The 27,933-nt window shown below is 41.4% G+C and overlaps 1 long non-coding RNA gene across 1 annotated transcript in view, besides 1 other annotated feature; it reads right to left on the bottom strand.

The window, feature by feature from the left end:
- Positions 1 to 27,933, bottom strand: part of LINC00607 (long intergenic non-protein coding RNA 607) — a 231,974-nt gene that overhangs the window by 156,221 nt on the left and 47,820 nt on the right. The gene's annotated exons all lie outside the window — the stretch shown is intronic.
- Positions 4,263 to 4,557: an enhancer, noted in NCBI's record as "tiled region #2478; HepG2 Activating DNase matched - State 5:Enh, and K562 Activating DNase unmatched - State 5:Enh". NCBI's record gives its function as "activates a minimal TATA promoter and a strong SV40 promoter by Sharpr-MPRA in HepG2 and K562 cells {active_cell/tissue: HepG2 | K562}" and the evidence as "EXISTENCE:reporter gene assay evidence [ECO:0000049][PMID:27701403]".

Genomic DNA, 27,933 nt, shown 5'->3' on the forward strand with positions numbered 1-27,933 from the left:
TGCCAATGATGAAATTGGACATTTAGCTGAGGAGATTGCTAAGCAAAGTGTTGAAAGAGCAGCTTTCTTCCAACTGCTTATAGTAAAATGTGAGAAGAGCAAGATAAATTGAAGATGGAATTGCAAGCAAAAAGGAACCAGAACTTCTCAGCCTATCTATATTGCAAAAAATAAGAACGCTTGCTCTGAAAAGAACACTAAGGATCTGGCCAAGCAACCATTCATTAAGGAGATTAAGCTGGGTGTGAACCATGAACCTAATCAGTCACTCCAGCAGAAACACTGCCAGTTTGAACTGAAAGGGACCAAGATGAGATGAAATGAAGGAAGGTTGTTGGAATTCTTGGATCCTAAAGGACTGGACCTTTATGATCTATAGAGCAATTTGGCTGTGAACATACACTACTCTTCAAGACAAAGGTAGAATGACCCTGAAGGCAATCCCAGAGCTCATCTCTGGATGTGGCAATTCAGATCCACGTCCCAATGCCTCACTCCTAGAGACCAATACAGCAACCACTGTCTTTCCACTCTGTCCTGAGAGCCAGTCCCCGTAGCCTCTTCCTTATCTCCTTGAATGCAGACCCCTCATGGAATCCTAATGTGGGTTTTCACCCCCTGGAAATATGCCCAAGAGCGCTTTACCTCTTCCACCTTTTTATCAGCAGGGAGACTTTCTATCACATATAAGCATAGCATCTCAGCAATACCTCCCACCTCACCTCTCTTTCTCTCTCTTTTGCTCTCTCTCTCTCTCTGTCTTTCTCTCTCTTGCTCTCTCTCTGCCATATGAGGACACAGCAAGAAGGCAGCTGTCTGCAAGGCAGGAAGAGAGCCCTCACAGAACTTGATCATGCTGCCTTCATGTTCTCAGACTTCCAGCCTCCAGAACTGTGACAAAATAAATTTATGTTGTTTAAGGACCTAGTCTCTGGTATTTTGTTATGACAGCCTAAGCTGACTAAGACACTTATCGAACTGTGTGCAACTAGAAAAGGTACTAAACCTTCTCAGGCTCAGTTTCCTCATCTGTACAACAGGAACAAGAATATCTACCTCATACCATTATTGGGAAAACTAAATGAGAGCAAGCGTAAAAAGCACATAACTCGAACTCTCTACCACACCTTTCTACTTCCCTAAATGATGTATGTGAAAATAAAACAAGATAGTTTATATAATAGTAGACTGAGATAACAACTGGAAATACTTTGAAAAAGAAAAATTACAAAACAAAGGGGCAGGATGAGGATTAGGAGCATAACTAATTGAGAGTATAAGTCATTACTTAATTGTACTAACTTACTAATTATCTATGTTATACTAAACCCACAGTGTCACAAATATAGGCCACTTCAAGTAAAAATAATACAATTTAGGAACAACTGCATTGGATGTGAGGGAGGAGAAAAGAGAGCTGAAGACACACACACACACACACACACACACACACACACAGAATATGTTGATTCCTAAAATGCCTTAGTCTTAGAAATATTTCAAAGCAATTAAAACACTTATATTAGGAAATATAGCAGGAGACAAAGACAATATGAAAGAAATTAAAAATACAAGGTAATTAAAGAAGGGAGCAATTTGAGAGGAGCGGGGGTTAGGGGGGTGGGGAAATGTTGACAAGAAATTAAGATGTTAAAGGAACAAAGTTCAGAATAGCTAATACTGAAAGGTCAAAAGCATGGAATTGTGTCTGCCACCTCCTCTTATTTTCCTGGTCACTATTGTTTATTAAAAGTAACCTCTCCTTAGCCACAGAGTCCCGTGGGGCATCTTCTACCTCAAGATTCTCTTTAGTAAAAGGCTCTTCTCACTCTCTTTTCCCAATAAAAGCTCAGATTTGTCCCATAAATTTCTGTCCGAGAGAGCTTGCACAGTCTCAGCCTCCTTGTCAAGCTTTGCAGTAGCAGTGGATGATTTTTATGAACTCTCCCTAGTTTGGGGCAAGATGACTTTGAGGGTCTTGACCATTTTTAAGAACTTACAATTCTCCTGGTAGTATTATGCTTATGTTTCTCCAAGGCCCTGACAACACATTCATCTTACTTTAATAATGATCCCATCATTTGTTGCTACCTTTAGGAGATCTTTCAAGAATGCAAGACAGGCAGATTTATTCTATTAGAATATCAGTAAAGTCAATCCTTTTATATAATAAATCCTGACAATCATGTAGAAAATGGCATTGATATATGTTTACATTGTGTTTGCATATGCATTTCTAAGAAAAAAGGCCTCTAAAAAACAAATATGAAAAGTAAGACAGAATTAATTAGTGAGTGCTTCCTGACCCAAAAGTGTGCAATATAAGGTAGATCTTTGGGGTACAACACATATTCCACAATGGATACTGCCTGAGTGGGGAGCCAGTGCCACGACCTCAGGCACTGTTAAAGGGGTCCCTGCCACAGCACCCCAAGGAAGGAAGGAAGTAGCCTTAAGAGTTGCAGACATCCAAATTTCTTTCTTTTCTTTTTTTTTTTTTTTTTGAGACGGAATCTTGCTCTGCTGTGTGACCCAGGCTGGAGTGCAGTGGTGTGCAGTGGTGTGATCTCGGCTCACTGCAAATCCCACCTCCTGGGTTCAAGCAATTCTCCTGCCTCAGCCTCCTGAGTAGCTGGGATTACAGGTGTGCACCACCACACCTGGCTAATTTTTGTATTTTTAGTAGAAACGAGGTTTCACCATGTTGTTCAGGCTGGTCTCGAACTCGTAACCTCGTGGTCTGCCCACCTCGGGCTCCCAAAGTGCTGGGATTACAGGCATGGAGCCACTGCGCCACAGACATCCAAATTTCTATGCCTGTACTATGTGAATCTGTCCACTTGTCCACAACTGACTAGGCCAGAATGGCTCCTCACCAAGACCAGTCAAGCTCTAAAAAGTGAGCTGAAGACAGAAATGAGCATTCACAACAAGTCTGAGTCACGTTAATGATCAGCCCTAGAAGAATCACCCATGAGCCACTGCTGCTGGTGGACCATAGACAACTGTCCTTTGAGGTTCCTGATTACCATGTGACGTGGCTGTTCCATGGCTTCCAGTCCACCCATGAAACCTGCTTGTTTTATTTCTCCTGTGCACAAGAGGCCTCGCCACAGGGCCAAGATTTCTTATCTCCACTTGTATCCTCTAACCACCTAGCCTAATCCTCACAGAAAGAATATAGTTAGCACACGAACTCTCTCTAACCATTTCTGTTCATAGGATATTTTCATCAGAAAAGCTTCCTTGACTATTTCAACACTCAAGTATCTTTTCAGCAGCAGGTACCTCTGCCACTTCCATAAGTGTTTACCTTGGATTGCTGTGTATTGACAGTCAGCTACTTAATCTGTCTATGTCTTGTCTCCCAAATCAATGATGAGTTTTTAGAGGAGAAAGAACTCTGTGTCTGACATAAAGTTGACCAGCCATCTTTAAGAGAGTTTAGGCTGAAAATTGCAGCTCATCGGCCCTTTTTTCCATGGATGAACAATAGCCTCTTCCTCCTGAGATAAAAGTGACCCAAGCCTGGTACTGTTTCTTTTTTATTCACTTATCTTTCTCAGAAAACCTACATTCACAAACCACTTGTACAAAGTGTTCAACATATTTAGAAGTCAGAAAGCTTTCTCGGCCACTTGAGAGTGTATTGAACCAGGCCTGTTACTCATGCTTCTTATCTTACTTATCTTATTATCTGCTCTCTCTACAGATCTACATCATCATGTGGGTCTTAATAAAAATAATCAAGAGTTACTATATTTGAGAATATTGGCCCAACCAATTCTCTGCCCTGGTGCTCTGTACAACCCCAAGGGCTCTGTGAAATCTTTCAAGGTTTCCCAGGAAAGTAGAAGAAATGAAAAGAGCAGAGTGGGTGAGACTCTAAGCCACAACACTCCCCTTTAACATTTTGATCTGTTTTCCATATTGGGCACAATAAGATTTATTCTACAGCCCTAAACAAAAATGAAAACTTGCCTGTACAGTGAGACTTGAGGAATCTAACTTAGCCCCCTGACCAAAAGCAGTCTTTCTACCTTTAGATTTTTCCTCTTTTGAAGTGAGGTTTTGTGCCTAGGGTTTTAAAAAGCCAGTACACTGGTATCAGTCTTGGATGCTCCATTATATAGCATTGCCTGTTAGAACTTGCATATAACACTCTGTTAAACTTGCTGCACAAATGAGACATATCCAAAAGGAAAGTTCCAATGGTTGGCCTGGGAGAAGAACTAGATAAAGACCCTGGAAGTTCTATCTTAAGAAATTCTTACCAGCATTTCCCAGGGGGGCAGGCAGGAAACAGCCTAAGGATTAAACCAACATGGGAGGGAGGTGGGTGCAGGGAGAGGGGGATTTATACAATTGTCCCTTGCATGGGAAACAGAGGCCAATAAAAGCAAACCTCACAATGACTCTGCAGGAATCCAGGACTTCCCAGCACTCAAAATTCACAAGCTTGCTGAGTATATCTTATCTTGACTTTTACAAGGAAAACAGTTAACCATTATAAGTTAACTATTTGTTCAGATCGCTCACTCCTCCATTCCACAACCAGTACATGTCAGGTTCTTTCCAATAATAATATTCTTCCTTGAGGAACATTCAGCAGAAATAGACCAATCAAAACTGGTAACACTAGGTTTATTTAAATATATATATAAGCTGCAGAAAAGTACAGACCAGAAATGGGGCTGTATCTTCTTTTTAGAAACCGCTCTCACATTCAGCAAGATATCTGTTTACAGGCAATACTAAAACCTGATTAAGGCTTAACAAAAACTAAGTCCACATGAAAGGAAATGTGGATATATGTGGATCGATGCTTTGTTAGGTTGATTTTTTTGTAAGATTGTGTATATATATATAAGCTATGAATTGGATTTAGAGGTACGACAATTTGTCACAAACCTATAAAATATTTTTCTACCCAACGTCACCCAATTTCTTACTTCTGGCAGACCAGGCATTTGATTAGAGTCTTCACTCTCCTTGGAGGCGTGCTGTGGAAAGGACACAGCACCTCTAATCATGCTTACCTCCTGCTATAGCCACTAGCATTATCCAAGAACACACTGACCTTTTGCGGTGCTACATTCCTTGGCAATTATCCTCACTCTTCTCTTAGTTTAATATTTTTACTTTCTTTTCTATCCTCAGACCCCCACCTCCATCTCCATCTTCCACTCAGTGAAAATAATTCTACTTGCATCTTTTTCCCATAAGGATCTATGTTTTTCTTATATTTTCATTCTCCTAATGTTTAGCAGGTCAAATGCAGTTGGTTTCATTAACAAATAAAAGCCACATGTCAAAATGGTTTAACAGTGTTAAATCCTGACCTGAGTTTAGCTTTGGCTCTGTGAACTTACCCTCAATGCCAAATGTCACATTTGATGTAGAAGCAACTGCTGTGCTGTTTAGATGTTCCTGACACCATTTGAATCCATTACTTCATTGAGATATTTTGCTCAACATCTTTTCCTTCTATGGATGAATTAATTGTGCCCAACACTGACCATCCTCACTCCAGAGCCCAGGCTAGCTATGACAACCCAGTCAACAACTCAAGGCTAGTCCTCCTCCCTCCCGATTTATACTTGGAGAGTCAGGCAATCTGCACCAGCAGGATAATAAAGATTCATTAAAGGGAAAGGAGACTGGGCAGATTTTTCTCTTCACTTTCCCTAGAGGGAACCATATGAAATTGCTATTTTTATAAACTGAAAGTGGTCAGACATCAGCAATGTTGTGTGCTTCAGCCCAATACATGAAAAAATATATTCACAATTCAACAAAATAAATTACAAACTTCATATTGCCCAATAAATATGAAAATGAAAGGTGTCTTGAAAGATTCATGCACGTCTGAGAGCACAAGAATGGCAATGTTCTTTATAAGGGGCTTTATATGCTTGAGGGCTTACCCTTTCAATGTCTTCCGTATTTAAATACTGAACAAGAGTGATAGATCCTTTGCCCCACAGCTGAGGAAATAAAAGGATCACACGCAGGCAAGCAGGGCTGATGGAAAAATATGTGAGAGAAGGACACTTTTTTTATTTTGCTCCACAATCCAGAAGCCTGATTCAAGAGGGTGCTTCATTGTGGTTAGTAATTCATCCAAACATGAACCTCAGAGAGAGCACCACCCTCCCACGGGGCATGAGATGAGGTGCTGGCCCACAGACACATGACTAATGCAAGGTCATCCCAGGGTCCACAGGCTGAACAAGTTCTGAACCTCAACCCTACCAATGTCAGGCCATTGCTTCACAGGAGCTGCATTTCCTCTTTAAAAGGCAAGACCAAGAATATAAAACCAAAGACCTCCATGGCCCCAACCAACCCATCTTAGGAACACAGAGGCTCCTTTCAACAGATCCAACTTCCTTTAGAAATTCTGGCATTTGGTGGGTAATGTTATGTCTCTTCTTCAAAGGTTATCTTCTGCTTTTTACCCTCTCTGAGTTTTAAATGAAAGAGCCCTCCCTATAAAGTAAGCTATACAAGCAAGCACACATACGGCATTTGGGCTAGATCTCAAGTATAAGAATTAAGCAAAACATAAGGCCTAAATGTGCAGTGAATTAAGAGTATGGTTTAAAAAAACCATTTCAATAAATCAAACTTTATTTAACATGCCCAGAGAGAACACCACTATAAGGTTGTAACTTCATGGCATTATATTGTTATGGTCCCATAATTCCTAGACTTTTTCCCCAAAATATAATTTTTAAATCAAAATAATATTTAAGTTCCTTTTAAAAGAAATACAGCTTAAAAATGTGTGTGGGCTATAAAACTAGACACTATACATGCATATCTGAAAGATGCATACCCAATCTTACTCTCAGAGCTGTGCTTCCATCCTCACAAACTTTTGAAACCATTTAAAAAGCTTATTCCAAGTCTATTTATAAAGGAAAACAAATGGGAATATGTAGGTATAATTTAACAAAATCTCTTGCCTTTAAGCAAATGGAACCAAAGAATGGCGTATTTAATTGAAACCCACAAGCTCCCAAACCTCATTTCAGGCACCAGTTTACATAACCGTTTTTACCTTACTTTGACTAGAGTCCCTATTGATAAGAGTTCCATGTTAAAACTCCTCTGCCTTTCCACACTATGAACTTTATTTCTCTTAACAAGTATTTGTTGAGCACCTAGAAGATGCATAGCTAAAAGCTCAATGTTGCTGTAAAAATACAAATATAAGAGACAGCAACATCCAGGAAACATCCTATAGAGAGAAAAATCACAAGGCAATAAGTCAGTTTCCCACAACATGCTCCTAGGAAAACACACTACTTGATTTAATAGTTTTTATATGAAAAAACAATTCAACCATTAAATAGTTTTGAGAACTGCAAGCTTGAACAAAGTTAAATAATTTTCTTTTTTGTCAGCTCTCTCAGAACCTTGACTGGGCTAATGTGAATTGTAAATCTCTAAGACAGGGATGCACGATGCAGTCCTTCCTGTATTACTTGATTGTGAAACACCTTTTTATGTGCATCATCTTCCACCAATCACACTTGGAGAAACACTAAGTTAAGTGATATCGTCTGTTCTATTCACTTAAGAAGTTTCGAGGACAGAGACAGAGTGGAATGTTTGAGAAAGACTTCCAGAGAAGACTGAATTTAAACTGAATTCTGGGCTAGATTCTCAGATAAAAATAAAATTTGGATAGACCCGGGGAAAAAAAAAAGAGAGAGAGAGAGATTTCTTATGAGAGAAGACATGAATGCACCAAAATTTAGAGTTAGGAATAAGCATGGCACATTTAGAAGTCAGTCAGCAAAGAGAACGGTCTTATTAGAGAGAAGAGTTCATGTGGGGGGAGTGGCAGCATTAAATTATAAAGGCTGAAAGTACTGTGTTAGATATTTTTCTAATTGTCCTAACAACTCTGAAAGATAGGCATTGCGGTGATCACTTTACAGATAAAGAAACTGAGAATTGCAGAGACGAAGAAATTTGCCAACTTCTTGTAACCAGTAAGTAGCCAAGCAGGCATGTGAACCCAATTTCTCATCTTCAAAATGGAAACTGAGTGAATTTTGAGACTCAGCACATAATAATCTTGTCCAATTACAAAGCCTATGCTATTCATATCAAGAGATTTCACAAGAGCGAATGAAAAAAATTCATATAAATATAAATGCATGCCAAATAAGAGTAAAATAGTGTGATTCGTACAAAAGGGTAGATATTGATTGTGCAGGACTTCAAAAGCTAATATGGATTTTCTGGGGGTTTTTATATATTAGAGACAGTAGAGTTTTCTGAGTGTTGGAGATTTCTCGGGAGGAGACTGATTAGGAAGATAAGTTCAACCATGGTGCTCAGGGCAGATTAAAGGAGGAAGGAAACAATCTGAGATGCCACTGGAGGTTGTTTCAGTAATTCCGACATGAAGGGATGGCAAGCAGGATGAGGATGCTGGCAGTAAAAGTGAAATGGGAGGAACCAATGGTGGAGAATGAAGTCCAGCCATTCAAAGGGAGGATTAGAGGCATTTGGTGATGCTTGGTGATGGAAGGCAGGTGACAAAGAAGAGGCAAGAGTCCAAAGTGGCTTTTCTGCCCTTTTCTTGACACTCTTTACCCACGAGTGGAGGTGCAAACAATGAGCTGTTGACATGGCCACTGAACACAGAAGGAAAGGGAGAGCTGATACTGGCATTGGACAGGGTTCCATGATGGATGGGGGGCTGAGTTACCACCAAGAATTCACATAAACAGGTGCATATATGTGTTTCCTCAAGCAGTGACTATTCAAAACCACAAGTGCTATTCTGCAGAAGTTCCAAAACTTTTCTTCTATGTTAAAGAAGGGGTCCTTATTCTGAGACAGGGTTGAGCATCGCTTGTATAAGGGTCAAGGTGACAGTGTCTAGCGTGGTAGTTCTGAGCTGAATGACTTTGAGAAAATTCCTTCAACTCTTTAAGTTTCAGTTTCTCATTTCTCATCTTCAAAAATGGAAGAGATGACTTAAGAAGTTTATTTGAGGCAGTAAATTCTGTAATTCTCATAATCAGCACCAAACGACAGATCTTTGGCTAAAGTTAAATGACTTTGGAATAAGCTATTTTCTGGCCCATCCCACCTTTCTTTTCAAGCAGAACAGAGTTATGCATATATGAAAATTCTCATACTCCTCAGGCACAAATCCGATCTTTATTTCAGTTCTCCAGGCCACTAAGCCAAGTCTTCACAGCCAGGCCATGTGGAGTGACGGGTGACAATTAGGCTGTGACCAACAGCTACATTTCCTCTTGAAACAAAGGGAGCTTTGCAAAGTACACCAGACATTTACTAGATGAACCAGTCTTTGCAGAGAAGTCATAGCATTTTGCTTTCACATAGATACATGAGTGGATTGAGACTCCAACACATAATAAATGCCTACATCTCAATTATCCCTTTTGTTTATTAGTAGAAATCTGTCCATGAGTATGTAATGATGCACTATAGGAATATAAATTTCCCTGGCAATGGTCAAACAAGCATTGAAAAGCTCTGGTCAAATCACTTTGATTTGTTTGTTGAATTCACCCTTTTTCTCCCCACAGGACCCACATGACCATGCTTTCTGGTTGGCACAAACAGAACTCTTTGAGAGCCCCAGGATGGAGTTCATGTATATATCCAAAATTTGTACTTTTGAAAGTCCATCAAATAAAAGGCAAAAACATGTGTGATCAAGAAAGCTATAAACTGACTACGAAAGGGCAGAGACCTTGGCTGGGAAGCCACAGGATGTGCATGGAGTGATTATTGCCAGAACACGGAGCCGGACATATCACTCTTGTTGTTTCCTCACATGAGCCCAGCAAGGTGCTGCTTTCTGTCAACTGCATGAGCCAACCCCCACGGGAGCCTGCTCAAACAGAAAACGTAGATAGTGTACGGGCCACTGTCAGCCCCCCTTCACACTGTGTTCTCCCTGGAAATGAGAATGGGACTGCAGCCAGGGTAGGGGTAGGGTGAGGATGAAGGAGACCCAATTGACTCTGAAACAGTTAATAAGACTGGGCTCCATGTGTCAAAAAGGAATTTATCACTAACACTAAATGATTCATTACCACCAAATGATGACATTTGTTTTTTTCTCTTTGTTAGAGTGAGGTAAGAATGGGGCAGGAAAGATCCTGGGTCTAAGATTGGTTTCACTCAGAAACAGATCTTAAGACAGTGATTTGCTTTGGGAGGTCGAGGTGGGTGGATCACAAGGTCAACAGATGGAGACTATCCTGGCCAACATGGTGAAACCCTATCTCTAATAAAAATACAAAAATTAGCTGAGTGTGGTGGCGCACGCCTGTAGTCCCAGCTACTTGGGAGGCTGAGGCAGGAGAATTACTTGAACCCGGGAGACAGAGGTTGCAATGAGCCAAGATCACACCACTGCACTCCAGCCTAGTGATCGAGTGAGACTCCATCTCAAAAAAAAAAAAAAAAAAAAAAAAAGACAGTGATTTGAACGCAAGTAGTTAACAGAAAGAAGGTCCTAGGAAGTACCAGGAGGAAAGTGTAAACATGAGCACGGAGGAAAAGCCAGTACAGGGTACACTGTTAGTACATAGACCGGATGCTGTGGGTACCTGCATCTTAACCCCTCTGGGTACATCTAGGATGCAGGGTGGATCACATCCCAGAATCTCAGAGTTATCCCACTGAAGTGAGGAAATAGGAGTATTCATTCTCCAACTCCAGTTCATCATGGATGATGGCCACTCCAGGTGCACTGACTGCCTGGCAATTCCCACCGCCCACAGGCAGTCCATGAGGAAACCCTCAGGCAGGTTCCCAGTGTTTGCAGTGGGACGCTGCCATCCACTTGCACTGTGATGATGAGTGCCAAGGAGGTATAATCAAGGTTCTGACAACATCTGCTAAAATCTGCTGGAGAAGCTGTGGGCACCATTAAAAACCATTGGTAGTGAGAGGTTTGTCATTCCTTCAAATACCATCCAGCTCCAGTTGATACTATCTAAAGAGTGGAGGGGCAGCCTCTTTAAAACCTGATAATAGAAGACAGGGCTCAAACTAGCTTTTACTGTGCGTGGTTATGTTCCACTCCCACCACAACTGCACTTGGATCACCGAAGTTGTTTAAAGGAGCTCCTAGTTCCAGGCCTGCCTGCCTCCCACCTGTCTCCTCCACACATATACCTGCCAGGCTAAACTTATGGACATTATAAAGACCACAGACACATTCAGTTTAATGCTTAATTAAATGCAATACAATCATTGTACTTTTATAAGTCTTTTTATAAAAATGAATCTACAAATCAGAAAGAATCCTTTGTCACACTCCACATCCCAATTTTGATGGAAGAAACTGTGGCCACAATATGAACAATTTCCAGAATATTTGGTTAAGTTAGAAAAAAAAAAACCTACATACAGACCAGCATGTAATGTCTGCTGCTGTTTGTGTAAAATGAAGGGGGCTAGAGATCAAGAGATGGATGGAGAGACAGATGGAAAAATAGGCAGGTAGAAATATAGAAATATGTAGAGATATATAAATATACAGGCCTAGATATAATATCTCTGGAAAGATACACTGGAAACAATGATTACCTTTGGGGAAGAAAAACGGAAAATTAAGGTAGAAGAGAAACTTTTCACCATTTACCAATGTATATTATTTGGTTTTTTATCATGTGTATGCATTAATTTTTTAATTAATTAACAGTTAAAATGGAAAGCAACGGACAAATAAATATGATCCCTGTTTCTAGCCTACCCTTTCTAATCCAGCCAGACTTTCTCCTACCTACCCTCAAATGAGCAATATTTATTCTCAAAATGTTTAGGTTGCTCCTCTGGGAAATGCTTTCCTCATTGCTGCTGCTGCTTCAAATCCTGCTCAACTCAAGTCCCACTTGCTTCAAGAAATTTCTTCCTAGTAATTCCAGGCCAATTTGACCACCGACCACCACCACAAAAACCTGCAACCTTTCTTTACTTCACAGCAAGCACTTGGGACCTGAACAAAATAATCGAGATCACCATTTGTGTTCTCTACTTCACATGCCTTGGGCAGAGGTGCCCATTAGAACCTGAGACTCACTCTCTGTAAGGAGGTCCACCAGGGTCCACTGGGGATGGAGAGCCACCTCTATGGCACAGAAGTTGTCTTACCAAGAGCAGCACAGGCCAATCCCAGCAACCTTCAGCTAAATCAGGGACTTAACAGAGCAGCAAGCACCCTCTTGGTGTCTTCAAGGTGTCAAAAGCTAGCTTTGGAGAGCATATACTGCAAAGAGAGGGTTGGAGCAGGAAAGGAGAGAAGTAAAACAAAGAAAGCCCCCTGGGCTATGTAGGAAACAATGCCAGCGACTCACTGAAGTGGCCCAGAAGCCCTACCACATTAGATTACAGAAAAGGAAAGCGTTGAGGGAGTGTTTTACGATAGCAGGAGGGTCTTCTGTCTTTTGTGCACAGTAAAAGATGTGGACATGTCCATTTGGAGGGTGAAATAGGATGACACTCAATGGCTCTGGAAGAAATGGAGGAAGGCAATTCAGGGCTTGGGCAGGGGAAAACTCCAGGTAGAAAGAGAAAGATGCCATCACGGCAGGGGGCAGGAGAAAGTCCCCCTTTAATAGCAATGACAGCAAAAAGTTGACTTGGGAAAACAGGTAAGAAAGATAAAGTTTTGGAATCAATTTTCTCAGCAGTATGTAAGCTGACGTCATCTTCAGGGAAATCCGCGTTACTAATCAGCACCTCCTAATTCCTGCCCTTGGTGGATCCTCGCTGTTTAGTCTTTTTCCTCAGTCTTTCCATATTTCAAGTACTGTGAGATCTTACTCTACTAAAATTCAGGTTCTTGAAGATCCTAAGTCCTTTGCCCTTTATTTCATTCTTAGTGAAATTATTTGCTTCTTTATATACAAGCAAATTTCTAGGTCAGAATTCCTTCTTGAAGATATACAATTATTTTCCCTCTTCAATTAGAAAATGCTGTTTTCCCAGCTGTTTTTAAAGACTAAAACCATAACAGACTTGAAAGGGCTCCTAAGTCACAAATCAAAATTTATTTCCATCCAGCTTAATGCTATCCAAACATGTCTAGTTTTTGTCTCTCTTTGCATTTAAAGTTTTCATTTTATCCAAATGAAGTAGTTGGTGGTTCTAAAGTGGTTTTGTGCTCAATATAAAGTTTACTTTTGTTCAAGTCTTTTCTTTTCTGGCCTTAGTACTAGGTTTTCCAGTTCACTTATAAAGAAAGCTATCCAACTATTTTTGGAAGAACAATGCATTTTGGTAATCTACCAGGATGATTTGATGTTGAAGTTATTGCAGCTCTTCAGATATCCAAGTCCTTGTACATGATCAATTAGAGCTGAAAATGAAGTCGAAATGTTCCTGGCATGCCAAGTACACTGTCACTGTTGTAGAAATAAGATGTTTGTTGTTACTTTGTTGAACACATATTGCCAATCAGTTTGGGAATACTGAAATTCTGTATGATTTTTCAGTCATTGTCTATCATTTTAGAGCAATCTATTGCTTTCAGAATTGAAGCTCAAGGCACGTTAGATTAAAGGAAGTGACTTTTGGAATCTGAACAAGAAAATTTTCTAGGGCAAAATAAAACATACAAAATCACTTCTTAGTAATTTCTTCATTCTGTCAGAGACATTCTATATGACGTCTTCTTTTGCTCTGTTAATTGAAGAACTGGCAATCTGGGGCACTTTCCCAAGTAATAAAAATGAGAGAATTACAGCCTAGGGAAGTGAAGAGGAAAAAGAGAGGTAATTGTACTTGAAAGCACAGCATTTGGCCCACAGTAAACCATCAGTAATGTCTATTGAATCTTGCATAACAACAAGAAGGTTGAAAAGAATGATATGAGAAATTGAGTCAAAAAATTAAGAAATAACCACTTCTGAGTAAGAACCTAAATGAACATTTAAAAAAATTTCCTTCCTGTTACTATGGCTTTGAAAGTCTCTAAGTAGGAGGAAGGTCTTAATCTTATTCTGATGATGCCTGAATCCCTGGCCCTCAAACTAGTCCGCCATTTCTTCTGGCCAGTATTGGGAGCTGGATGTGAGACAGAGATAAACAGCATGGCCAAGGAGGGACAATAATACAGTTAGTTGTAGAAGCTGGGCCCAAATAGGGCATAGAAAAACAGGGGAAGACAATGACCTTTTGTTTCCATTAGAACTATACTCCAGAATTCATAGTCCCAATAGGTAGAGATACCTATTCCTCACAGAAGAAAAGAATGAAATAAACAGAATTTTATTTATTATATACATTTTTACATAAATTCAAATTTGTATTTTTGTAGAAATTCTCCCTTTTCCACCATTTTTTGATCCCCAATCAATCCTAAAGTGGAACCTAGAGAAGAATAAGTTCCCCAAATAAACGGTGGGATGGGCAGATGAGTAGAGGCCAAATCTTTTTTTCAGATTCAGGAAAGTTTTAGATATTTCTAAAATGTCCCTCGAGTCTTTCTTGCTCATCATAATAAAAACAAAAACAACAAAAATACAATAGCAACACATACTATATGCCAGGCACTGTGACAACTGTTTCCCATGTAAAAGCTTATTGAATCCTCCCAACCACTAAGTGTAATAGATACTAGGACCTCACTTTACAGATGAGGGAATTGAAGTTCACAGAGGTTAAACAACTTGCCCAGGATTAAGGTTACACAGCTAGGAAGTGGTGAAGGCAAGATTCAAATGCAAGCTGTGGGAATTCAGAATATGCTTTCATTGTAATGGGTGTGCCCTCTTCCCACTGTCCTAGTTAGAGGTCACTTGGATTATTCCCTTTGGCTCCAAAATATCTGTATAGAAGCTCCTCCCCAGGAGTCTCCAGGGGTCATCGTAGGTTACAGAACATTCTGTACATTGCAGGGAAGTTTCTTCTGAGGGGCCCAAATGATGGGGCTTGAGCCAGTGTTGGTATCGTAACCTCTCAGCCATTAACTGGGTGGCCAATGAGAGAGAGCTGTGGTGCAGGCATGCAAAGTTCTCACATACACGAAGATCAGGAGGTCTGCTGGGGAGGCCTCAGGTTTAGTATATCTCTTGTGTGCTCAAACAGTGCCCATCACAGCAGATCTTCCTCCAGGACTGGAGCACCAAGCTGGCATCAGACCTATTGTTTAAACAACTCTCTAGAATCAGGTTTTAGGCAACAGGTGCCTCTGATCCAGAGCCTTTCCTACTTTTCCCAGGATCCCTTCCCATATGCTCTTTAACTGAACTTTGATAGGATGTTTCACCCGGAAGAGTTTAGAATCCCACTAGTCTAGATTCAAACCATGGGCAACCCTGCGTCTCCACAACCTAAGACATAGGGAGGGCTCAATGTTCAGAAGCACAATGCTCTACCTCCCCTCCCAGGATGGGAAAGGAAAAGCTTTCATTTGCAAGACAGGGTCAGGGGTGTTGGGAGAAAAGAACAGAAAGAAATGAGTATTCATATTAAAAATGTAACCCTTGGCCATGCTACCTCTGGGAGACCCTGATATTAAACTGATCTAGGCAAGATGAGAGCAAAACTCCATCTACCCAAAGCCTGCATACAACTTTGTGCTCCCATAACCTATTTGGCTGCTCTGCCACAGTGTTTATTACGCTGCATTATGTAAGCCTGTCTCCCCATTAGACTGCACAGGAACTAGAGCAAAATGGACACTCAATAAATGTGAAGTAAATGAAGAAATGTGCAAATTCGGCTGGGTGCGGTAGCTCACACCTGTAATCCCAGCACTTTGGGAGGCCGAGGCGGGCGGATCACGAGATCAGGAGATCAAGACCATCCTGGCCAACATGGTGAAACCCTGTCTCTACTAAAATACAAAAAATTAGCCAGGCGTGGTGGTGTACGCCTGTAGTCCCAGCTACTCAGGAGGCTGAGGCAGTGGAATCGCTTGAACCGAGGAGGCAGAGGTTGCAGTGAGCCGAGATCACGCCACTGTACTCCAGCCTGGGGACAGAGCAAGATTCTGTCTCAAAAGAAAAAAAAAAAAGAAATGCGCAAATTCACAAGATCTCACAACAGAAGAGCTGCAACATCACACTTAAACTCCTGACCTGTTGTATGGAGTCATTGATTTAATTGCTGTGCTGCATTTTAGTTTGAGTCCATACTTTCCATATAAACATTTAATCATCCATCCATCCATCCATCATTTATTCATTCATTCATTCACACTGAATGCATTTTTTGAGTGTCTACCATGTGCAAGCCACTATGCTAGTCTCTAGGAAACTGAGAGCAAGCCAAAACAGGACATGCTGAGGACACCAGAGCAAGATTTTCCCCTATATTTTTCACAAAGTTGAAATAAAAAAGAAGAAAAAAATACAGAAATAAGTTAAATAATGAATAGTAGCTGCCAGAGAAAAGACTGGAGATATGCTCAAGGGAGAAAAAAAATGTCTTTCAAAGGTGATTGGAAAAGAAAGGCATTGGCAACACAGGGAAAAAAAAACAAAACAAAAAAAAAAAACAAGGAAAGACATTCTAGAAGGCAGGGAGTTATAAAATAGATCCTTAGTAGTGAGAAGAAATAAGTCTGCCAGTGCATTCTTATATTGCTACGGGCAAAGAAAAAGGGTGCCTGACTTGTCTGCATATTCTCTGAGAAAGTCCAGCTGTTCTCTGGAAAGCAGAATGCCTGCCTCTGGAGTGGAGCTGAGCCTTGCAAACTGATTAAAAAAACATGTACGGTCAGAGAATAAACACAAAGCTCAAGGATGTCTTGCTGTGTGCACTTTATGGGCACAGAGTACTGCTGCTCCTTTAATATAAAGCTATTATCCACAGTTGCTGACTCATGTTCCTAAATTCCACAAATGTCTTCCATTTTGTAGCACGCTCCTAACAGGCTTTCTATCCTTCCTGTGGATATCTCATCTGAGTTTGAGAGTGAGGATCCCAAAAGGAAGAATCCCAAGGGGAGTGTCCAGAGAGCAAGTGTTCCAAGAGAACCAGCCAGAGGCTGCATGTCGTTTTATGATCTAGCCTCAGAAATCACACAGTGTCACTTCTACCATACTCTATGGGTTCAAATGGGCACAAACCCACTGAGAGTCGAGGGAAAAGGACATAGACCCCACTTAAAGACAAGAGGTATGTGAAAGAATTTGAGGCCATATATTAAAACCAACATACTCACCAACTTTTTTTTTTTTTTTTAAATAGAGGACCTGATGCCTGGAGCTGCAGCAGCCATCTTGTAACCATCAGGAAAAACTCGAGAGAATCCCAGAGACACGAGTGCTGGCAATATGGAGCTAATGAACCAATCAGAAAACTGCTACCTCCAGACTTTTGAAGACGTGAGAAAAATTAACTCAATATTTGCTCTAGCCATTTTTAGATGCATTTGTTACTTGCAGGCGAAAGCCCTTCTAACTGATACACTACCTCCAGAGACAAGTAGTATAGACTCAGAATGTCATTAACAGATCTGGACGTGAAGGAGGCATAGAAATATAGAAATAAGATAGTGTTTCAGTCTTTCGTTACTGAGTTTCCATCAGTTCTGGCTAAGTCTCAGAGAATTTCAGAATGCTGCATAATTAGAACTAATTGACAAATTTTCCGTATAAAACTCATATAAAAATGCATTATTCCTAAAAATTGGTGAAGCCCTTCATGCCTACAAAGCACTTCCTGGTCTTCAGCCCCACAACTGGCATAGTTGATTTATACTCTTATTCCCATTCAGTCACAAGCCCCAGCAGTTCAGGAAATAAAGACATTTGTCTCTTCCAAGAAATTATACCCTTAGAAAACAAACCCTGGAAGAAGCACTGAGATTTCAGAAGGATGAAGAAAAGTCAAGAACTCCTCCAAATGTAAAAGTGAGGAAAAGCTCAAAAGCAATGGGTACCTGCTTCTTCCTACAGTGGGTGCCATCCCTATTCTGTCTAGAACACAGACACACACACACACACACACACACACACACACACACACACAGAGTCTGCTCCAAGAGTTGTTTTCTGAGCTCACCTGCCTGAGTTTGCCGAATCATCTATTTAACTCACGGGGCTAAGCACATTACCTCTTGCAATATGTGCTCATTGTATGTGTAAATGAAGTTCAGGAAAGAAATTAACTCATCATTCAGAGAACAGTTCTCCATAGTCAGTCCCCAACAGTAGATTCTGAGCCTGAGAAGACTTACTTCAGAAGTTGCTCTAGAGTTTAATATAACTCCAGTATGTGCCATTTGCTTCTGAGACATATGGAGTGCTTTGAGCTTCCTGGTCACAATAGAAAATGCAGGAATTGTTTTCAGAGAAGCTTCTGCTTCCCATTAGATAAAGCGATTCATTATCCCCATGGACATTTCAGCGTGTGCTCAGACCTCACACCACAGGATCCTCCTGTGGGGAGTTTCCACAATTGACTTAGTGAGGGCCAGCTTTTGGGCTGTGCTAGATCCATGGTGAGACACAGCTCAGAGCATCCGAACTCCTCCCTTCCAGCTTGCAGACCCCCCGCACTGCTCTGCTGGGGAAGCCCTACTCTCCAGATCTCCAAGAGAAGGTACTTTATTCTGGCATCCTTTATCAGTCCCAAGGTTACCAGCTAGGACCTTGCATTCCTCCTACTCTTTGCAGGCTTTGAGAGACCCTCAGAAGTATATGGTTCAGGCTTCTAACCCCACTCTTGGGTCCAACAATGCTTTGGAGTACACTGGACTGTAAATCCCAAGGCTGGTGCCCTGAGCACTATAACAAAACAGAATGACTTTAATATAAGGCAGAGTTTTATTTTTGAAAGTAAACAGGGACACACAATTGGACTCTTTCTAAAGCTTCCAATTTTCTCAAATTTTCCATTTGGATGATATGCATTAAGCCCATCCTTAGTGACCCCAGCTGGTCATTATCATTACTAACAACAAAATATAGCAGATATTTATTTGGATAATGATGCTGACTCAGTAGTCTAGAGGGAACACGCTTATGAAGGAAGGAGCTGCAGTCAACATTGTGCAAGTGATCTGCTGCTAAGCCTGAATGGGGCAGGACTGAGGTTCTGTAAAGAAATTACACTAGCTCCATTGTAAGGTGATGGTAAGTATGTGTGTGTGTGTGTGTGTGTGTGTGTGTGTGTGTGTGTGTGTATGCAGGTGCACATTTGTACTTTATCCCCTTAGAGGAAATGGAATCTTTTATTTTGTGAGGCATTCTGTTTTGCTGTTTTTCTAGCAATACATAAAGCTGTCTTATTCTAAGAAGGTCAAAGCATTTTATAGACATTACCTCAGCAGGCCATGCAAGAGTCTAGCAGAGTCCGCATGGTCAGGTATTATTGTTTCCTGAATCAATGTCCTGCTGCAACTCCTAAAAGGGCTCTTGAATGCTAACCAAAGTAGTCCCACCACTTCAAAGCTCACAGATGCTTAAATTAGACTTGAAGGTGAGGGTTCAAGGGAGGCGTTTTTCTTGGTTTCTAATTCTTGCCATCTGGTCTTAATCTGACTCCAGAGAGAAGCAAGCTGGCGGGTGACAGCTTAGAGCATGGCTAGTCTTTAGAAATGCCACCCAATCCTTTTCTGCATAATTGGTACCAGGATTTGCATAGATTTGCATACATTATGTATCTATCAGTATTCTTTTAGATCCCATTTAGAATTAAATTAATTTTGCTATATTTAAGATGTCATTCTAGGTGGCTTTTTCATTTTCTTTTTCAGATGGTTGTGCTACCTGCCTTTATTAGCCATTGCTGTATTGGGGTTTCCCAATGAAAACTGCTCTGTCAATAGCAAAGCCATTCATTTAATAAATACGTGTTGAGTAAATGAGTGAAGCCAAGATCTTGACCTGTCCATCCCAGTTATTAATCCTGAATCAACATCTTTAAGCTTGCTTGGGCTAGAGAACAATTGAATGTCTGGCTAGATGTGGGGAGCAGAACGAAGGCAAGGGCTACCCACAGGCTGGCCACGGAGAAGATGGACGGCATGTCTGATGCCTCAGGCTGTAGAAGTGGGGCTGTCTTGAGGCTATGGCACTTCCCCTTCTAACATGCCCCGGGTACTTTGGGCACACTCATCTGTTCCCCTGTCGTCTCCTCCTTTAGAACTGGGGTGGAAGAGAATGGGAAAGATAATTGGGATAAAGCAAGGTTGGAATTTGCCTGCTCAGTGACAGGCCATCCTCCTGTGCTTAGAGGGCCTTGCTGATAGTAATTCATGTTGAGACACTCTGCTCTTATCTTGGACAGCACTGCTTTCTTCTCGGCTATCTGAAGCCTTCTAGAAAAGCATTAAGTTCCCTCAAACACACTCCCCACACTAAAATGAGAGTCTTTTTTTGCTATAAGGAGGCTTTTTTTTTTTTTTTTGCCAATTCCAGTGTTGAACCTCTAAAGAATCCTGGGATTGAAGTTTACACAACCCTGGGGCTCTCTATCCAATGTATATAAGCACCCCTTGGCGAAGAGCTCTACCCTCACAGAGTCAGATTAAATAGGTCTGGACAGCCGTGGTGGCTCAGGCCTGTAATCCCAGCACTTTGGAAGGCTGAGGCAGGAGGATTACTTAAGGCCAGGAGTTTGAGATGAGCCTGGGCAACAAAATGAGACCCCATCTCTATGAAAAAAAAAAAAATTTAATTAGCTAGGTATGGTGGCATAGGCCTGTACTCCTAGGTACTTAGGAGGCTGAGATGGAAGGATCGCTTGAGCCCAGGAGTTTGAGGTTACAGTGAGCTATGATCACACCACTGCACTCCAGCCTGGGTGACAGAGCAAGGCCCTGTTTCTAAAAATTAAGTAAATAAAATAGGTCTGGAGTGGATTCCAGGAATCCAAACCCAGGTGTTGAAAAAGCAACTGTAGATAATACTGATGGGCAGTGGAGTTGAGAACCTCTAACAACTCATTTACCAGTGAAGGGAATTTGGTTCAGAGAGATGTAATTTAGTAGAAAGCCAAGCCCTAGAACCAGATTTCTCCCCGGTTTCCAATACACCCACACCATTTCTTTTTCCCCACAAAAGTTCTTGTCAAATATTTCAAGAAACAGAAGAATAAAAGTGATTTGCTGAGGGTTGAGATTGGGGGAAATAAGGTATCTGTATTTAAGGCAGTGGCACCTGGAGTAAGGTAGAGAATAGACTCTTATGAGGGCAAGAATATGGTCTTCCCAAGCTTTGCTTTTACAGAAACGGAAACTAGCAGTTCCCAGAAGCCTGCTAAAGAATAAAAACCAGGCGTGGTGGCTCATGCCTGTAACCAAAGCACTTTGGGAGGCCAAGGCGGGCATATCACCTCAGGTCAGGAGTTTGAGACCAGCCTGGCAAACATGGTGAAACCCCATCTCTACCAAAAAATACAAAATTAGCCGAGTGTGGTAGCGTGCACCTATAGTCCCAGCTACCGGGAGGCTGAGGCAGGAGAATCACTTGAACCCGGCAGTTGGGGGTTTCAGTGAGCCAAGATTGTGTCACTGGGTGATAGAGTGAGACCTCGTCTCAAAATAATAATAATAATAATAAAGTCCATCGAGTTACACAGGGCCCCACTTAACAGCCCTCGCCACTGATCCAACTTAACGTTGGCTTCTCAGCTCAGGTTTCCGATAAGGTCAGAGGTGGTTTCCTGGGATAAGAAATGGAAGCTCCTTATTCTTAATCTTCCAAAGAATCCAAAGGGTTCTTCAGAAACACTTTGCCAAGGGTCAGGGACCCTGAGTTCAAAAGCTATCAGGGATTGATATTCAGCCGAATCGCTCTTTGGCCCTCCTTAAGGCACCTTCTGGAATTCCTAGGCCATATTTTGCTTTGCAGCAAAAGAGCATTAGAGGCTTAATCTAAGACTCAGGAAAGTTCTCAAAACTCAAGAAATTGTGAAAACATAAGACCTCAGTGGTTAAGAGAGTCCTCATGGTTGCCCTTAACTCTCTGTAGTCCCCAGACTGAACTCTATACCAAAAATACAGTTTCAAAGTCTACGCAAAACAGGAAGGTGCATTTGATCTAAAGGTAACCGAGGAGTCCTGACTGCATCAAGCCCAGGAGCTCTGCCCCACACTAAGATAAATGATATGTGAACTACACAAATACTGTTTGGCTTCTTTACACCACGCAACACATGGACTTTTGTGTGCTTCCCAACCTACTTCCCAGAACTTACGTAGTGAGAACTTATCTATTTTGCAGACGATGCCGTGCATACGTTGTCTCATCTAATCCTCACAGAAATCTCATAAGGTAGGTGTCACCATCCTTTACAGATGAAAGAAACTCCCCCAGATCACTTAGAAAGCAGCAGGGCCATGGCTCACTCCTATAATCCCAGCACTTTGGGAGGCCGAGGCAAGTGAATCACTTGAAGTCAGGAGACCGAGACCAACCTGGTCAACATGGTGAAACCCGGTCTCTACTAAAAAAAATACAAAGAGTACCTGGGCATGGTGGCATGCACCTGTAATCCCAGCTACTCAGGAGGCTGAAGCAAGAGAATTGCTTGAACCTGGGAGGTGGAAGTTGCAGTGAGCCGAGATCGCACTACTGCACTCCAGCCTGGGTGACAGAGGGAGACTCTATCTCAAAATAAAAAAGAAAGAAAGAAACCAGCAGGGCCAGGATTTGAGCTCATGTCTGTCCAGCTCCAAAGGATATGCTCTTTTCACTACATAGGCAACCTCTCCTGAAAAAGCAAGAGAAGAGTTGGGTGACTCAAACACGCTTGCTCTCCCCTGCTATAGAATGACTCTGCCCTTTGCCTGGTGTTTGGAAGTCCAAGTTGAGCCTCATATCTGTGAGGATCCCCCTCTCACCATGAGGAGAAAGCAATGTGCATTCCCCCCTTCTCCGCAGAGCTTTCCTGGGCCCTAGGGCTAGAGACAGCTCTGCTGAAGCAGCTTAAATATGTACATTTCCAGGAAGAATATTCTTTAGTTAAAACCTGCTGTTTTGAATTTCTACAGCTATGGCTTTGCCTAACTTCCTGCAGCAGATGGATTTACAAAATTCTCTTGCAGAGCATGGGAGCTGGGAGCAGAGCTGCCTCCTGAAGATGGCTGAGCCTGGTTTTGTTGTTTTGTTTTTTGGTTTGTTGTTTTTCTGATTATGAGATACAAAACCACAGTGAAACATTTAGTTGTCTTCCAAATAGCCATCTTGGCACAGATTTGAAACATTAGCACGATCATGTGTCTTTAGTGTCAGAGAAGGAGTCATTTAACTTTTCAAAGAGAGATTTCTACTTAATACCAGCTCGCACAGCAACGGAAGCCAAAAGGGACTTGTTTTCTACTGATTTTCTTCTAAGCAATTCAAAATTTGACACACTAGCAGAGGGCTTTGAATGGGAGAAGACATGCTCCACAGTGTGGTGAATAAGTAAGTGGCTACAAGTCATCCCTATAGATGAGGGCAGGTGATCTGGCCATTCTAAAGTTGAGAACACAGAGGCTGTGCCTAGGGGAACGACACTGGCCTGTCAACACCCTTGGCACTACTGTGCTGAGCAATTTACATGCACAAGCTCAGTTGGTCTTCATAACAATCCTGTAAGGCAAAATAGTATTTTTGTGACAAATGAAGAGCTGATGTTGAATGAGGTCGAGCAATTTACCCCCATTCTCACAGCCAGAAAGAAGTGGACCTATGCAGACTTTCCTATTCAGCCCATCACTTCTTTTCATCTCACGGGTGTGTGTCACTGAACCCATCGTGAATGGAATTTTGCTTTCTGGGCTCACTGTCAGATGAACTGCCTTGCAGATCCAGCAAGAGGTTCTCCGAGAAGAGTGAGGTAACTCCGGAGGGGCTGAGTCCTGACCTGAATCCTAGCTGACTCCAGAGTCTTTTCTGAGCACAAAAGTCCAAGACATAGCGGCAAAATCTCTCAGCACTGTACTGGCTCATGTTCTCCCCAGCCACTCTAAGGCAACCAGAAGAGGAGGTGGAGATGCCCCTGAAGCCCAGGGCTTTTTATTTACCCCAAACTCTCCTGAAAGACAAATATGTGCTCATCAGCTCCCAGCCTCTCAGGGCTTCCTGTTTTCTTAGGTGCTCTATCACATCTGCTGCTTCACTGCCTTGGGTTAAGTTCACATCCACTGAAGAACAAAGCTGAAGAATTAGGGGTGAGACCCCAGCACTTTTCTTTTTTCTTTCAATCTAAAGCAATTCATAGATAAGCCTCTTTCCCAGCCTGTTTACAAAGAGCTATCCTAAATCTCATTGTTGTATACAAACTCCAGTGTGGGGCTTATCCTCACTCATAGGGCACAGAAGTCTCAATGGAATATCATAAACCATTATTTAGAATAAAAAATTATGACCAAAATGTAACATTTCCACAGGCATCACCAACCCCTGTAATTTTTACCATATTCCATATTTGATTTATCGCCAAAGAGAAACGTGCCCTGAGATCAATCTAAGGCAAAAGGGGGTGGTTTAGTACTCCTTTTCTGATGCTTAGAAGAGCTATTTTTATCATTAATTCAAAGATTTAGAGTAAGGTGGTTCTTGATGAAATTCCTTGTGGGGACCTTAATCTTAAGTCTCCTAGAATCCATCCTTTGCTGTACTACTTTTCTGGTCTTTTTGTGCCAAAATAAGCATTTTTCCTAGACTAAGCTCTTTTCAGTTTTGCTAGTAAAAATCACTGCAGTATACAATGTTATATTGAATATTAATATTGGCATCAGAATTTTCAGAGCATTAAAAAATGCCTGTATGACTGGTACTTCTTATTGAAAACTCATTTAGAATATTTCCCTTGACTTTCTAATTGTTCATTTGAAAATGAGGGAGGTAGATTAGATTATATATGTAGCTCCTTCCAAGTCAGATAATTTCTGAATCTATGAAGGTCTAGAATATTTCTCCAGAATCCCTCAGTAGACTCTCTTAGAAGTTAGTTTTTTAAAATAATTTAGGATAAATATTTTCATCATCCCAACATACTCCAAATAAAATTCATATTATTTTTGCTAAAATATTAAGCTGGGTTTGTTGAAACGTATTCTGAAGGGGAGAAAAGGTATTATCTTTTTCTCACTGATGACAAGGTTCGTGGCTGACACCCCATAACAAAAGACAGATTAACAAGAGAAAATCATAACAAAATTGTTTAACTAGAGTTTTACATGACATGGGAGCCTTCAGAAATGAATACCCTCAAACCAGGGGAAAATTGTGATTTTTTTTTTCTTTTTCTTGTCTTTTTTTTTTTTTTTTTTTTTTTGGCTTAGGTTCTATGAAGAACGGGCAGTCATGTAGAACTACAACTGGACAAAAAGGGAGTATGACCCAGTGGTAATAAACTGAGGGGAACTTAGCAAGAGAGTTCAGAGAACTCCTTTTCTTTTGTTTTCTTTTCTTTTCTTTTTTTTTTTTTTTTTTTTTTTTTTGAGATGGAGTCTTGCTCTGTCGCCCAGGGTGGAGTGCAGTGGTGCTATCTCGACTCACTGAAACCTCCACCTCCTGGGTTCAAGCAATTCTCCTGCCTCAGCCTCCCAAGTAGCTGGGACTACAGGCTCGTGCCACCACGCCCAGCTAATCTGTGTGTTTTTAGTAGAGACAGGGTTTCACCATATTGGCCAGTCTGGTCTCAAACTCGTGACCTCATGATCCACCTGCCTCAGCCTCCCAAAGTGCTGGGATTACAGGCATGAAACACCGCGCCTGGCCGAGAATTTATTTATGGCCATGTTTTAGGGGAGAAAAATGGGAGAAGCTCAGAGTGACCTTCTTGCTTCTGTGGCTTTCTCAATTGTCAAGGTGCTATATTTTGGGGTATCATGCCCTAGGCCCCAATAATTTCCTTTTTCCTTTCTTTCATTTTCTATAAATGCATCTACTTAGCTAAAAAGTCAAATACTCAAATGTAGATTATTTTGTCTATACAAGTTTTGCCATTTAAAACTTTTTGCCATTTAAATTATTTTCTTTATGTGCATTATGGCTTCAGAACGGCAACTCAGGGAAAAGCAGCTTACACCCATACACGTACATGCTTATCTCTTCCTGCTGAAACCAAGACCCCTCTGATTAGTGAAGACTGTTACTTGGGGAATGACTGAGCAGTACATGAGTTTAGGAGTTCCTCCTTTTTGTGTTAAGCATGGTTTGGCTTAACTCCAAACCAGGCATGGGAAGTCTTAGTCACACTAGGCCACTGAGTTTGTATTTGCAAGGAAATCTCTGGTTTGCTTTCTGTGTCACCTAGCACACATCTCCAAAGATTTTACTTGTATCACTTTGAACCCTAGAACAAATATTTTGACATCACACAGTATACACAGCAGAATCCCACAGCTTACAATGCAATAATGCACTTACTTTCAGCAAAGCAAGGAGGAAAAGGAGGGAGAGGGAGCTGGTTAAAACTAGAAGTTTCTACAAGTTAGCTTGCTTAATCAGTAGGAGGTGGGTTTATTTGTTTTGTTCTCTTTTAGTGGTTACTTTCTATTAATGAAGACTGTGTGTACTTGTGTTTGGGGTAAGCTTAGTCATTGACATAGGGACAGGGCTGGAAAACCTAAGTTAAGCTTAGCAAGTTAACACCATAGAGGATAACAACAAAGACTGTCTCTGTAAACAAACTTTAGACCAGGTTCTTTGTGCCCTCTTCTCAAATAGGCCTCATCTTTGGGCCTTGTCTTTGGCCTGCCTAGTCCAGTTTTAGCAAGAATTCTGCTAAGTCAGTCTAGCAAAAATCCCCTATCCTTGATATCTAATCACCCTGGCCTGCCTTCAGCAAGAATTCTGTTAGTCTCTTTAGAAGAATTTCCCTATCTTCGTTGTCTCCTCTTAGTAATTTTCCATTCACGGACCCCCTCACTCTGTTCATTGGATATAAATGCCCCACGGCTTTGCTATATTCAGAGTTGAACCCAATGTCTCTCCCCTACTGCAATAGTCTTGATACCTATTGCAATAGTCCTGAATAAAATCTTCCTTACTGTTTTAACAACTGTCAGAATTTTTTTTTTTAACAAGGGTCAGGCTGTTATTTGTTATGTGTGTTGTAAAACAAAGCATTTACAATCTTCTCCAAGTTTTATAGCTCAGTTTTAGCCATGGGTATTAAAATATGATCTCCTGCCTGGGACCTGAAGGCTCCAAAGCCCTTATTGCAATTGTGCTTAATACATCCCTCTAACCCATCCCCGTTTCTACCCTTCTGGGACAAGAAAAGCTGTGCCTTACTTAAAACTGCTGTGAGCATGAAAACATTCCACTGGATGGGGCTGGAGGCACAGGGTGAGGGGCAGCAGCTCTACTTTGAGCCGTAAAGTGCTAAGTGGGAGTTTCGTTTGCCAAGAAGGGGCCTTCCTGCACAAGGTGGAAGGTGGTGTTGGTGAATGAATAATTGCCAGGGAAGTATCACCAGACACCAGGATAAGATTTTATGGGTCATTGGGAGGAGAAAGCAGCTAACAGCATCCTTGTTGAGTCTTTAGAGGCACAGAGTAGAAGCCCGAGGGAGAGTAAACAGCAAAAATAGTTAAGGAAAAAATAAGCTACAAATAGTAAGGAGGGGAAGTGGGAGCACTGAGCATCAGGGAAATTTCTGGCAGAACTCTAGCAAATGCCTGCACAAAATCACACCAACCTGATGATGCTGTCATTCCTGATCATTTCCTCCAGCCAAGGGGTTGCTCTCCAAACTTACGGAAGAGAGAACCTGAAGGCAGTGACCTACCTATTCACCAGCTTATACATCAGCATGAGTTAGTTATTCCAGCTTATTTTATGAGCTGTTATTCAAGCATTTGAGTATCACCAATGGTGAGGTATTGGGTGATTTATTGCAGAATATTATTCCTCTGTCACTAAGTGTAATGAGATCATTTGCAAATTTTATTTTTTCTCTGCCTTCTAAATGCATGCAATTGTTAGACCACATATTTGACAGCTGATATGATCCACAAAACAA

The sequence above is a fragment of the Homo sapiens genome, chromosome 2 (genome assembly GCF_000001405.40).
Source record: "Homo sapiens chromosome 2, GRCh38.p14 Primary Assembly".
Taxonomy (NCBI): Eukaryota; Metazoa; Chordata; class Mammalia; order Primates; family Hominidae; genus Homo; species Homo sapiens.